Genomic DNA, 13,552 nt, shown 5'->3' with positions numbered 1-13,552 from the left:
TGCCATGCCACACACATGCCACACACTCTGGGTCTGGCGAGATGAGACTTTCTGTGCACCCTTGCTCACGCCCGCCAGCAGTTGTCCTGCAAACCACAGCTCCCTCACACCAGAGTGGAGTGGGCACGAGTCTGCGTGAGGCCGTCTCTATGACAACAACTACCCTGTTATCCCCACAGGGCCAGGGTGGGCAGCAAGGACCACCTGTGTGGAGCCCCACCCCTCCCCTGCCCTGCATTGGTGACTGAAGCAACAGTGACCCCTAATGGTTACCAGCAGAACCGCAGCTAAGGGAAAAAGTTGGGGAGTTTGGGCTTCCCTGCCTTCTGTTGCTGGGTCTCTGAGAGGCCTCCAGGAGGGTGAAAGGGTAGAGAGACTCCACGCAAGCCCTGGCTCTGAGACCTGCACACTCACACAGAGCACACAGGCATGCCTGCATTTGCACACGCCTGCAGGGCAGCAGTGGGGTCAACCCCTCTCCCCACTACCTATGCCCCCTAACCCTCACAGTGCCGATTGTCTGGATGTGGAAGAGCTTAAGGAAGGGATTGGAAGTCGAAGAAAAGAGGGCTTCAGAAATATGCCATCGCGGCTGCACCTGCAAAGATGGGCAGGTGGTGTCTGGCCCAGAAGTACTTCTGGGGGAAGAATGTAGGGATGCTAGGAAATAAGCTCTATTGCTGTCCAAGTCCTAGAAAAGAAGTGGATTTAACTAGGTAGCAAGATAGATGGAGGTTGGACTTCAGGAGGGACTTCCCAATGCTACAGGGAAGCTTTGGAGAGGGAAAATATGTCTCCTGAGAGACAGTTGCAGACAGACAACAGGTTGACCTGGAGAAGGAAGGATGAACACCTACCACAGAGGCAGAACAGTAAATGCAGCGACTGAAATACAGAAACACCCGTCTTGGTCCCCCTCCTCTTCCCCAGATTCAGACAGAACTCCAGAAAAAAAAAAAAGCCTGTAGCTGGCTGGGAGAAGACAGGTGAGCATAAAAGAAGGGAATGTTTACCATCCATCCCTCAAAACTGTCCCTGTGGCCTTGTGGCAGGTCTTCCACCCGAGAATGGGTGCTGGGGACTATGGATCTCATACCCTACCCCCTCTAAGCTCAGGAACAACTGATGCATCTTTGTGGGGGCTGGGAGAACAGGTTGGAGTTCTCTGGGGAGAGAGGCCCAGAGGCCTGGGGGAGGAGGTGGAAATGGTCCGAAGTCAAGTGAGCTGTGCCACTAAGCCAGGCCTCGGTGGCAGCAGGATGAGGTTCCTCTTCCTCTAGGCTCACAGTTATTCTTCCTCTAGGCTCTGGCTACGGAGCAGAGAGTGGTTCCTGGCTGTCACCAAGTAGGAAGAAGAATGGGGTACAAGGACATGAGAGCTCAGCTTCCGACACCTGCTCATACCAACGTGTTTTATCCCGCCCCATAATACCAAGCTCCAAGTCCCAGGGAGCTTGGATGGAAGAGTACCAGGTCTTAGATGTCCAACCAAGGGGCAGTCCTGGAGTAGACACTTTGGACCTTGCCCTTGGCCCAGTGTGGACGCACTGTGGAAGCTCCTCCCCTGGTCCATGAGCTGTTTGGCATCTTCTCGCACTTTCTGTTGAGGGCTAAGAACAAGGGGGATGTTAGTATGTGACCACCAACCCACAGTGAAGGTCTTCCTGCTTCCAGCCAGAGGCTCCCATGCATAACTCCTCAGGCCAACACCACCTGCTCCCAGGGTTAGGACTGAAGTTTTGGTCTCCTCCAAGCCCTGTGAGGTCGATTGACAAAGTACTGACACTCCCTGTCCACCCCCTTTCTTTGCACAGGAGGCAGAGAGCTTGAACCACCTGGCTCATCTCCTGGTCATCCACCATGAAATTGAGCCCCTCTGGGTTACTCGGCCAAGGGCCCACTAGTAAGTGATCACTAGGGTGGCACCATCCACTGCTGGAGAGAGTGGGGAATGTAGCATCCTCTTGAATGTGTGCCAAATAAGGAATCCAGGTGGGCGGAGCTGGGGATGGGTTTAGAGCAGATGATACTTGGTGAGCCCCTGGACCCTGGATGCAAAGCTGAAGTGAAGGGTGCTTGGGGAGCCCTGGGCATATAGTGCAGAAGGTACCTGGTGAGTCCCTGGTACACAGTTGGAGCACAAGGTGCTTGGCGAGCTCCAGATGCACGGTCAGATGGGAAGGGCACTTGGTGAGATAGGAGCTGGAGATCAATTCCTCAGCTGCAGCTGATGCCTGGCTGAGGCAAGGCTCTTTAAAGGGGCCACATGGCTCAGAGTTCTGATGTCCTTGCTGTTGAAAAGTGGCCTGATGGGCCATGGGTTAAGTGTTCAGAGTGGGTGTGGCGAGGGGTGGGGTGACCACTGGGCGTGGATATCTGGATTTCCCTAACTCTGAAATATCTGCCCTTTTCCAAAGCCAGGAGATCTAGACTCCTGCCCAGGATCTTGGCTAATTGCATAGCTTGTCCAGCTCCAGCTTAGATATGCTCCTCATTCAGCCCTGTGAAATATGCTCCTCATTCAGCCCTGTGAAATATGCTCCTCATTCAGTCCTGTGAAATATGCTCCTCATTCAGTCCTGTGAAATATGCTCCTCATTCAGCCCTGTGAAGGCAGCACATCTGAATGGTTTGGCCTCCCCGACTTAGCAGGCCCAGAGTTGCAGGCAGAGTCCAGCCTCTCCTCACCTTCAGCACTCCCACCATGAAAGAGGAGGGAGGAGGGAGGGGCATAAGGGAGGCACTCACAGGGTGAAGATAGGACTGAAGTTCCAGGACCAAAAAGTGAGGCTGGTTCAAGGACAGAGGGCATTCCTTCTTGCCTCTCTCCCTACCCTGTCCTTCCACACAGAGGGAGGTAGCTGTCAATCACCAAGGCCTCTAGATGTCAGAGGGAGGACAAGAAAGAATGGGGATGCCAGGTAGGTCATGAGGAGAGAAAGAAATAGAGCAGGGTGTGGAAGAGAGAGGCAGCGGTAGGGAGACAGCAACTCAGAAACGTCCCTATGCACAGCTGTGGAAGCTCTGAGGACACCCCGGGACTTTTTACCCAGCCCTGTCCCTTTGATGTCTGTGGGTGTGGCCCCCAACTCTCCCCACTTGTGAACAACAGGGGGACTTTCTGCTCAGTCATTTCTGGAGATGAGACGGGTCCCATCCTGAGGGCCCACTCTGGCTCCCAGCCTCCCAGGTGTGTCATCCTGTGTCTTAAGCAGAACTGGACAGGAGGAGGGGGGCTGACAGACACGCAGGAGGAGAAAGGGGAGGACAGATGAAGCAGAGAAGACAAGGGTGGCAGCCAGGAGGAAATTCTGAGACTATGAAAAGGGAGTCTCAAGAAAATGAGACAAAAAGGACAGAAGTTGTCAGCAGGTTCAGACAAGAAACGGAGAGGGAGAAGGGGCCTGGCTAGCAACCCTCCCTAGATGGCGGCAACTTCTGGGGCATGGGAGGCACAGGTGTGAAGGAGGCAGGGGTACCTCTTTTGGAAGCAGAATTTCCTAGGGGAGAGACCTTAATGCTGGAAGGCCAAGAGCTGAAATAAGATAATGGATGCCCAGTGCTTTGTAAGCTATAAAGCACTATACAAATTATTGTCGTTGTTATCTGGTTGTGATATCATTTACAAAGATACTGCAGAAGTACATTTAGTGACATGGAAAGATGGCCAGGATGAACTATGGAGTGAAAAGAGCAGGTTACAGATAATATAAATGATGCCATTTTTTACATTTCCATGTACAAATTCAGAAAAAATATCTGGAAGCATAAATATGCATCTGGGTGATGAGTTGTGGATGATTTATATCTTCTTTTTGCTTATCTGTATTTTCTCTTTGTGATTTTTAAAGAACATACATTATTCATGCAGGGAAAAACAAGCAGTTTGCTTTTAAAAGAACGAGGCTTCCTGCCCAGAGGTCTGGGCTCAGGATGAGTGCACAGAGCCTTATAGGCGCCCTGCTCTGTCCCCTCGCTACCTGGGTGTGTATCGCGGGCTCTGTCACATACATACTCTCCAAGGACATTTTTTTCCTCCATGTTTTAGGCTGGGACAAAGTCCATTTTATTGAATTCAGGATTGGCAGCATGTTTTTGTAGCCCTACCGTGTCTTCCATCCCAGGAGACATAAAACAGGTGGGAAGTAGAGAAAAGCAGACACTTCTCAGAGATTCCTAGCAACCCTAGGCTTACCCCAAGGGAGGCCAATAGCTCTCTGTTTACAGGATTTTGGGGCTATAAAAAGTGAGGGCACCTTCCCCTCCCAACCCTGTGTGGTCGGCCTCTGCCTATAGTGGCTCAAACTCCCAAGTCTGGGTTCCCACACCCTCCCATTTCTCACACATTCCATGCCCATCACCTAGACGTGTCTCCTTTTTCCATTCCTTCCCTCATTCTCTGCTCACCCTTTCCTCCCAGTCGAAGTGTGGACCATCACACCCCTTGAGGCCTTCCCCAAATTCTTCCTCACTGGGCTCCCACTCTCCTTTCTTTCCCAGCCTGAAAATACAACCCCCCGTCTCCCCGGCCCATTCCTGAATCTCCTCCCCCAGAGCCACTCCTCCCCACCTACCCAGAATAGTTTTTGTTCTGTTTCTTTTTTTTTCTTCTTGAAACAGGGTCTCTATCACCCAGGCTGGAATGCTGTCAGAATAACATTTAACATAAGTAACTCTTTATAGTGGCAAAGAGTTTTCTATTTCCAAATTAGATGTTTTAAAATCTACTTTAGAGAGGGCAGCATCAATGATCTGAGAAGCAAAATGACTCGCCTAAGATCACACAGCCAGTTACTGGAGGTCCAGCCCACATCCACCACCCCACTCTGCCTCGAAGACTGAGAATACAGCTGCATTTTCCTCTCTTGGCCTTCGGTCTCTGTCTATAGTTCTAAATTGCATCTTCCCTGTCCCCAGGCTGTGGCATTTAAGCCTTCTACTTCTAGCTGCAACCTGCCTTTCCAGCATCATGATATGCCCCAGCCTAATACAAAGCCCATGTTTCAATCAGTCTAGACTCTTCCCTATCTGCCAGCTTGTACTGTGTCACCCACCACCAAGCCTGGGACTTGCATCTTCTGAGACTGGCCTTCACATCTGTCCCCATTCCCTCCTCTGCATCCTTGGTCTCTGTGGCTTCCCCGTGATGCCCTTTCTGATCTCTATACCACCCACAGGGCATTTAATACCTACTACCATACACAGCTATGGTGTGAGTGTTAGGCGTCCCCTTAGGAAAACAGAAACCACTCTAGGTATTTCCACAGAGAGATAATTGAATATAAGGGATTGACTTTACTGGTGTGAAAGGGTTGAGAAGCAAAAAGAGAACACTAAGTAACACAGAGATATCTGCAGGAAGAAGCTAACTCCCCTAGGCTGGGGGAACAAAGAGGCGAGTTGAGGTTGTGAGAATCTAAAAATGCAAGAAAGGGACCCTATAGAGGTGGAGTCCCTCAGAGGAGGAGGTGGTGCTGCCCAGCTGGTACCCCAGCAACACTGAAAGGAAACAAACAGAAAGAAGTGAGTCCTCCCCTGTCTCCCTGCAGCACCTGCTACTGGCAGAACCTAACAGAACGGGCAAAGGAGTCTGGGAAGTGTGGTTGGCAGAGTTTCAGCCCCAGCCTCACAGAGCAGAGTATAGAAGGGAGGGTTTAGAGCCAAGAAACAAGCAAATGACCAGCATCATGGTAGTTATTATTTTTCTTATACCTAAAATATATTGAGCACCTACCACATGTCTACACTTGACATACACCTTTTTTTTGTTTATTTTTTGAGACGGAGTCTCGCTCTTATCGCCCAGGCTGGAGTGCAGTGGTGCGATTTCAGCTCACTGCAACCTCCACCTCCCAGGGTCAAGCAATTCTCCTGCCTCAGCCTCCCGAGTAGCTGGGATTATAGGGGTATGCCACCATGCCCAGCTAATTTTGGTATTTTTAGTAGAGATGGGGTTTCACCATGTTGGACAGACTGGTCTCGAACTCCTGACCTCAGGTGATCTGCCCGCCTCGGCCTCCCAAAGTGCTGGGATTACAGGCATGAGCCACCACGCCCAGCCTTGACATACACTTTAACACAAAAAACAATCTGGTAAGCTCACACTATTGCTGACATTTTACAGATGAGGAAAGTGAGCCTTACAGAAGTCAAATAACTTGCTCAAAGTCCCACAACTAATAAATGGCGGAGCTGGGATTCAAAGTCAGATCTGTACACCTATTTTCCACTATATCATGCTGCCTACTTGGTGTACCACTCTGGGCCAAGAGGGCTTTGGAGATGGGTGGGCATAAGTCCTTATGAGCAGGATGGTGTCTGTATGGCCCCAGCACCAAAATGTGTTTAGCAAGAAGCGATGTGCTGAATACCCACTCATAGTAGGTCCTGCAGTGGGTGAAGAAGTCACAAAGATGGGCAATAACAAGCCCCTGCCCTGAGGGGCATGCTGTCTGCTGGGAGAGAAGACATGTAGACAAACAATTGCAGTACACCATGGCAAACCCTCATGCAGCTGTGTAAGAACCAAATGCTACAAGAGCACCATAAATGAAGGAATGAGGATGATGAAACTCGGATCTCGATGCTTCCCTGCTGAAAATCCTTCAATGGCTCCCCAGTGCCAATGAGGTAAGCACAAAGCTCGCAGGCAGGCCTATCTCTAGGCTTCATCTCTCGAGCCTCCTGCCCCTTCACACCCATACCATCCTCCAGAGGGCTTTGCAGCTCTAAGCCTGCATGCCCTCATTCACTTTGCTCCTGCGACTCAGCATCCTCCACTCTCCTCCACCTCTCCCTTCCCATATATCTTGAGAATCACCTACTCCCCTTTAAATCAGCTCTTTCAACTGCTGCCTCCTCTCTGAAGCCCTTACTGATTTCTCTTCCCCTTGCAATCTCATCCTAGGCAGAATAGACCACTCCTTCTTATACCCCTTCTCCCAAATCCTTGCTTCAGAGTTAAACTCTGAATGACCTGGATTGTTTGCCTATGTATCTTTCTTGCCCTCATGTCTCATTTGTCTTTGTATCCCTTGAAACCATAACAAACTCCAGCACATTCTAGGCTTCAAATAGATGCTTGATGAATTAATGACAACAAACCAACTAGGGGCAGAGAGTACAGAAGGGAAAGAAAATACTACCTTGAGAGCCAGACCTGAACTGAATCTTGGTTCAACATACTTAACTAAAACTAGTTAAGTTTCATTTGCTCCAGCAAAGTTATTGGTAATTTACTTCTCCAATCCTCAGGTGAAGTCGCCCGTCAAATGGAAAATCCACCATGTACCTCAGGACACATGATCCCTGAGCCAAAGCATCAGCTGGACCAGCTGCCTCTTCCCTCAGGTGGTCAGGGATGATGCTGGGACATGTGAGGACCTCAGTCCCTGGGGCTACACTAGGAAGTCTGGAGGCCTGACTGCCATGACTCCTCCTCAGCCACCAAGTCTATACTCAGCCACGATGGAGGAGGGAAGAGGGAAACCCTTCAATCTCCCATCCCTTCTAGCCCTCTAGTTCCAGCACTCAGAGTCTATGAGATCCTCAATTCCCTCTAACATCTTTCTGCCCTAACCCTCACATCCTCTAGTTCCTGTGATACCTTCAGCTTCATGGGTCCCTCAGAACATCTGGAGCCTCCTTGGGTTCTCTAGGGTATCTCTTGGCATCCTTGAGACCACCAGGATACCAAGCAGTTTCCCTCCCTGATGACTTCCAAGCAGTCCTGGAACTTGGCTCTCAAGTAGCCAAGCACTATCTCTGCCAGTCTCTCCAGATTCCCAGGCTCTCTCATTCTCTTCACCATCCCTGTCCACCCCCTCCAAGCACTGCCAGCTCTGACCCAGCACCATCTGGACACATGGTCACCTGACACAGAACTACAGCTGCTGCGGGGCTCCATCCCCTGCCCTCCTGTCACCACTGCCCCAGCAGGTTCATTGCAATTCAGTCTAACATCAAATTCAGCCTCAGGAAACTTCTGGCAGCAAAGTACACACAGCAGGAGCGAGAAGTAGAGAAGTGGGAAGGGCAAGCTGATCTGACCCAGCGTGCTCCTGCCACAGCTCCAAATGACCATCCCGCCTCCACATCCTTGCCCAAGCCCTTCCCTATGCTCAGGACACTCTCTCCACCCATGACTTCTTAACGGGATTCTACTTAGCTCTCAAGGCCCAGCCCAGATGCCCCCAGACTGCACTCTCTTGAGTTTCCTCCCCTCCTCTCTAGGACGTAAGCCCCTTGAGGAGAGAGGATGACATTTGGGAGCCCTTTCAGGGCCCAGCAGCATGCAGGGTTGAAGGGAGAGATAAAGCCAGAGGGTAGACCTGAGGTCTGACCCTCAGCCCTAGTCAGCAAGAACAAGAAGGTTGCTAAATGCTCCCTTCAGGATTCTGGGGGCTGGTAGAAAAGAAGGTAAGAAAATACCCAAGCCTCTGATGGCTGGCACATCCATTTGCTGATAGAATCCCAGAACCTTGCTGGGCGTGGTGGCCCACGTCTATAATCCCAGCACTTTGGGAGGCCGAGGTGGCCGGATCACCTGAGGTCAGGAGTTCGAGACCAGCCTGGCCAACATGGCAAAACCCCATCTCTACTAAAAGTACAAAAATTGGCCAGACGTGGTGGTTCATGCCTGTAATCCCAGCTACTCAGGAGGTTGAGGCAAGAGAATCACTTGAACTGGAGGCGGAGGTTGCAGTGAGCAGAGATCACGCCACTTCACTCCAGCCTGGGTAACAGAGCGAGACTCTGTCTCAAAAAAAAAAAAAAAAAAAAAAAAGAATCCCACAACCTCTCTTCTAGAAAGGTGTTCTTCCCCCGTTTACCAGACAGCAACTGAAGCTTGGAGAGATCAAGAAACTTGCCCAGGTTCACCTGGGCACAAGGGTGGAGGAGGGGTGAAGATATAATAAGAGAGGCTATTTCCCAGCTACCTCTATCCCAGTGAAATGTCGAGGCACACCAGAGATTCCTGGCAGTCTCGTAACCTGGGCTGCATGTAGACAGCACTGTCATGGAGGGCTCAGCTGTTCCAAAGTCCAAGACAGCCCCCTCTGTTTGACAGAGCTGCTGGCCTGGGCCCAGGCTTCCACACACAGAGTAACTGATTCCATTTTTAAGGTGAAAACACTTCTATTGCAGTGATCACAATGTGTATCAAAGTGGTAAGCACGGTTTCCAGAAGTGGGCTGTGCAAAGCAGCGTTCAGGCCTTGCAGAGCGGAGCCACAGACGGGCTGTGCTGAGACTGCCCCACTGCGTGGAGAGCAATGCTTAGACAGCGGGCTTGGGAGAGAATGGCAATCAGGTGATTGAATGCTAACAATCAGACTCACTGCTCTCCTTGTTTGGCCCTTTTCAAATAGAAAAAGACAACTGGGCCAAGCGTAGTGGCTCATGCCTGTAATCCCAGCACTTTGGGAGGCCAAGGCTGGAGGATCACCTGAGGTCAGGAGTTCAAGACCAGCCTGGCCAACGTGGTGAAACCCCCATCTCTACTAAAAATACAAAATTCGCCGGATGCGGTGGCAGGCACCTGTAATCCCAGCTACTCAGGAGGCTGAGGTAGGAGAATCCCTTAGAACCCAGGAGGCGGAGGTTGCGTGAGCCGAGATCGTGCCACTGCACTCCAGCCTGGGTGACAGAGCAAGACTCTGTCTCAAAAAAAAAGAAAAAAGAAAAAGACAACTGGTTTGAGTCTGGGGGGTGGATACTTGAGCGCGAGCAGTCCTCCTCCTTATAGTGTCATCCTACCCAGAGCTGGGCCCAACGAGAGACAGTCTATCCCCAAGGGCCTCCCTGTCAAAAAGGCAGGATCCTGAGGGTGGCCAGGACTCTGGAACTCTCTGCAGAACCTGGGCTGGGGAGGCAGACTTCTGGGCTGGAGGGACCTGTGCAGACACTCCACAGCCCTCCCCACTGCCTTTTTAGTTCCTCCCCATCTTCAGTCCTGCTCTGCCCCACCCCAGAACTGAAAAGGGGGGATGAGGGATACGGGGAGCCTTGTTCTGTGGCTGTGCTGTGTGCTCTAGGTGGTGGCACCCACTGTCCCCTGTTGAGACACTCTCCCTAGACCTTGAATGGCTGGCTCCTTCTCACCTGTCACCTCATGGAGAGGCCTTCCAAAAGCGTCACCTACTCTACATCTAACACCCTACACTGTCATCCTCATACCTCCTATTCACTCCTATCGTGAGCTGAAATCACTTTTCCTATTTGTTCATAAATTTATTTCTCTCTCCCCCGCCAGAATAAAGGCTCCCAGAGAGCAAGGCTGCGCACATCTTGTTTGCTGCTATGTCCCCAGGGCCTGGCACTGCCAGCTACATCAAAGGAGGGCTCCACTCTGTTGAATGAGCTTCCTGGATGGACTTCCACTTTTTATTGCTCCTCTAAGGGTATAATAAATAGAACAATGATAATAATTCCGGCCTGACAGCAGCAGCCTTTTACAGTTGACAAAGCAATGCACTGAGTCACTGGTCATTTCCTACGTACAATGACTTAGTCTGGGTTATTCCCATTTTACGTATGGGGAAAATGAGGCTCAGAGGGCTTCCGGGATTTGCCACAAGCCACACAGCCTTTCTGGTGGTGGAGCAGAGACTCAAAAAGACCCTGACCCCCACCACTCTCCTTCCATTGCTTCACAGTCACCCGTATACTGAAGGGTAAACCACAGCTCCTTCTTCCTCATCATCCTCGTCCACGCGGGTGCCTGTGGCAAACACAGGCGTGTGAGTGAAGAATCATCTGCCACACACAGAGGCCGACCCGCGACTGCGCGTGAGGAGAAGCATGGAGACAGCCTGGGAGGCAGCCCAGCAGGGAGCGTGGAAGAGGAGTCAGCACGAGCTGCCTCTCCCTGGAAGGGCTGTTATCCTCTAAACCTTCCTTTTCTTCCTTTCTTTGCTTTTTTTTTCCTCAAAATGTCAATACATAGTTACTCAGCATCTCCTGCATGCCAGCATTTTACCAGGCACTGAGAATTCAACATAAATAAGACACGGTTACCACCTCAGAGTGGAAACAAATGAAGAAAATAAACTCGAAACCTATCACTTCTGCCATTGATTTATTGTCTATTCAAGTAAATCAGCTGATCTTTGAGCCTTCTATAATATATTAAAAACCAAGCAAATGATCTAATTTATCAATATCAGTAATAATATTACAATTGCAAATGGCCTTATAATTTTCAAACATTGGATATATTATAGGCTGGATGTGGTGGCTCATGCCTGGAATCCCAACACTTTGGGAGCCTGAGGCAGGAGGATTGCTTCAGCCCAGGAGTTTGAGACCAGCCTGGGCAACATAGTGAGACCCCCATTTCTAAAAATAAAAAAAAGGATATATTAATATACTATATAACATTTTGTGAAATAAGTTTTTTTCATACCTTCATAAGAACAAGGGATGATTTTACCAGGCCTGGCTCATTATAAATTCATACACTAATTCTATAATAAAGCCTGATTTAGAAACAGCCAGACACATGGCAGACCCACGGAAGAAAAGTAGCTGTTGAAGTCAGGGCCAGAAGCTGACCATTTCAGGTTCATAGTCTCTCACTTCTATTTCACTTCTTTTGTTACCTAATTTTTCAATTAGCAGTAAGAGGCACTAATATGCAGCCAGGCAGAGTGGCTCGTGCCTTTAATCCCAGCATTTTGGAAGACTGAAGCAGGAGGATCAACTGAGCCCAGGAGTTCAAGACCAGCCTGGGAAACATAGGGAGACTCATCTCTACAAAAAAATTTAAAAATAGGCCAGGTGCAGTGGTTCACACGTGTAATCTCAGCATTTGGGGAGGCCGAGGTGTATGGATCACCTGAGGTCAAGAGTTCGAGACTAGGCTTGCCAACATGGTGAAACCCCGTCTCTACTAAAAATACAAAATTAGCCAGGCATGGTGGCGCACGCCTGTAATCCCAGCTACTTGGGAGGCTGAGGCAAAAGAATCCCTTAGAACCTGGGAGGTGGAGGTTACAGTGAGCCAAGATAGCACCACTGCACTCCAGCCTGGGTGACAGAGTGAGACTCTGTCTCAAAAAAAAATAAAAAAATAAAAAAATAAAAATTAATTGGGTGTGGTGGCATGCACCTGTGGTCCCGGCTATTTGGGAAGCTGAAGTGGAGGATTGCTTGCACCTGGGGGTTCAAGGCTACAGTGAAATGTGATTGTGCCACTGTACTCCAGCCTGAGTGACAGAGAGAGATCCTGTCTCAAAAAAATAAAGAAATAAAGAAAAAGTTAATATGCAATGATTATTTCTTTTCCCCCAGAAGTGAGCTCCAAAACAAGGAGCTGAGTTTTTATTTACTTTTGCATGTTTGGTGAACTGTAGGCATAGAATCCGTGTTTACTAAATAGATACAGGAAGAGTAACTATAAAGTAATGCTTTGGCTCTACAAATGCCTAAAACTGTTCAGAGAAAAGGCATTATGTGAAATCTAAGATATCCCACTGCTCCTTTCAGTAGTGTTGTGGGAGTATGTTATGATTGCTCATGATGTTGGCAAAGCACATTCTGCTGAAAGAAAAACTACTTGCAAAAAGATACTATGATTCTGCAAATGAGTCCATGTTTTGGGTTTAAAAGGCTGCAAAGCATACATTCCTGCAAGGATAGGGTTTGGGCTGGTGGTTAGAAAAACATCCTGGATTCTGGTTTCTTAAAGCTTGAAACTGAACTGGATGTGGTGGTGTGTGCCTCTAGCCTCAACTACTTAGAGATCAGCCGGGCACAGTGGCTCATGCCTGTAATCCCAGCACTTTGGGAGGCCGAGGCGGGCGGATCACGAGGTCAGGAGATCAAGACCAAGGTGAAACCCTGTCTCTACTAAAAAATACAAAAAATTAGCCGGGCACAGTGGTGGACACCTGTAGTCCCAGCTACTCGGGAGGCTGAGGCAGGAGAATGGCGTGAACCCGGGAGGCAGAGCTTGCAGTGAGCCGAGATCACGCCACTGCACTCCAGCCTGGGTGACAGAGCCAGACTCCATCTCAGAAAAAAAAAAAAAAAAAAAAAAAGAGCTCAAGTCTAGCCTGGACAACGTAGCAAAACCCCAGCTCTTAAAACAACAAACCAAAAAAAGTTTGAAAAGGGTCTTCTCAGGGCAATTCCATACAGAGCTCTTTTGCTCTAGTAATAGTTTGAGGCTTTGGAAAGTCCTGCTCCTTTTCCTTTCTCCTCAGGTGTCTTTAACATGAACTCATTCTGTGGAAAAGCAGTTGGCAGTGCCCACCCATCTGTGGGGGGCTGCGTCCTTAACTCTTTGGCAGCTATACTGGCTAGTGATTGAGATCCCAAAATCTGAAACCAGACCATCTGGTTCTAATCCCCACTTCCTTTCTGTGTGGCCCTGGGCAAGTCATTTAACCTCCCCAAGTCTCAGACTCCCTGTCTGTAAAGTGGGGAGAATAATAATAGCACCCACTTCATGGGCCGGTTATAAGGGCAGGTGAGTTCAGACCGGTAAAGCACTTAGCACAGTGTTTGCTCATGGCAAGCTGGACATGACGGCATATCTCTCTCCACCC

General features: G+C 49.6%; 1 protein-coding gene across 1 annotated transcript in view, besides 4 other annotated features; it reads right to left on the bottom strand.

The window, feature by feature from the left end:
• The window catches only part of NTRK1 (neurotrophic receptor tyrosine kinase 1), a 66,101-nt gene that overhangs the window by 42,515 nt on the left and 10,034 nt on the right, over positions 1–13,552 (bottom strand). The window lies entirely within an intron of this gene.
• Positions 68–568: an enhancer, noted in NCBI's record as "H3K4me1 hESC enhancer chr1:156808560-156809060 (GRCh37/hg19 assembly coordinates)". NCBI's record gives its function as "activates a minimal SCP1, AML or CMV promoter by ChIP-STARR-seq in naive H9 embryonic stem cells {active_cell/tissue: H9 hESC(naive)}" and the evidence as "EXISTENCE:reporter gene assay evidence [ECO:0000049][PMID:30033119]".
• Positions 2,752–2,841: an enhancer, noted in NCBI's record as "active region_1884". NCBI's record gives its function as "activates an Ori minimal core promoter by ATAC-STARR-seq in GM12878 lymphoblastoid cells {active_cell/tissue: GM12878}" and the evidence as "EXISTENCE:reporter gene assay evidence [ECO:0000049][PMID:35858748]".
• Positions 3,062–3,221: an enhancer, noted in NCBI's record as "active region_1883". NCBI's record gives its function as "activates an Ori minimal core promoter by ATAC-STARR-seq in GM12878 lymphoblastoid cells {active_cell/tissue: GM12878}" and the evidence as "EXISTENCE:reporter gene assay evidence [ECO:0000049][PMID:35858748]".
• Positions 3,262–3,331: an enhancer, noted in NCBI's record as "active region_1882". NCBI's record gives its function as "activates an Ori minimal core promoter by ATAC-STARR-seq in GM12878 lymphoblastoid cells {active_cell/tissue: GM12878}" and the evidence as "EXISTENCE:reporter gene assay evidence [ECO:0000049][PMID:35858748]".

This window comes from Homo sapiens, chromosome 1, assembly GCF_000001405.40.
Source record: "Homo sapiens chromosome 1, GRCh38.p14 Primary Assembly".
Classification (NCBI taxonomy): Eukaryota; Metazoa; Chordata; class Mammalia; order Primates; family Hominidae; genus Homo; species Homo sapiens.
This window is presented reverse-complemented; position numbering and strand designations above follow the sequence as displayed.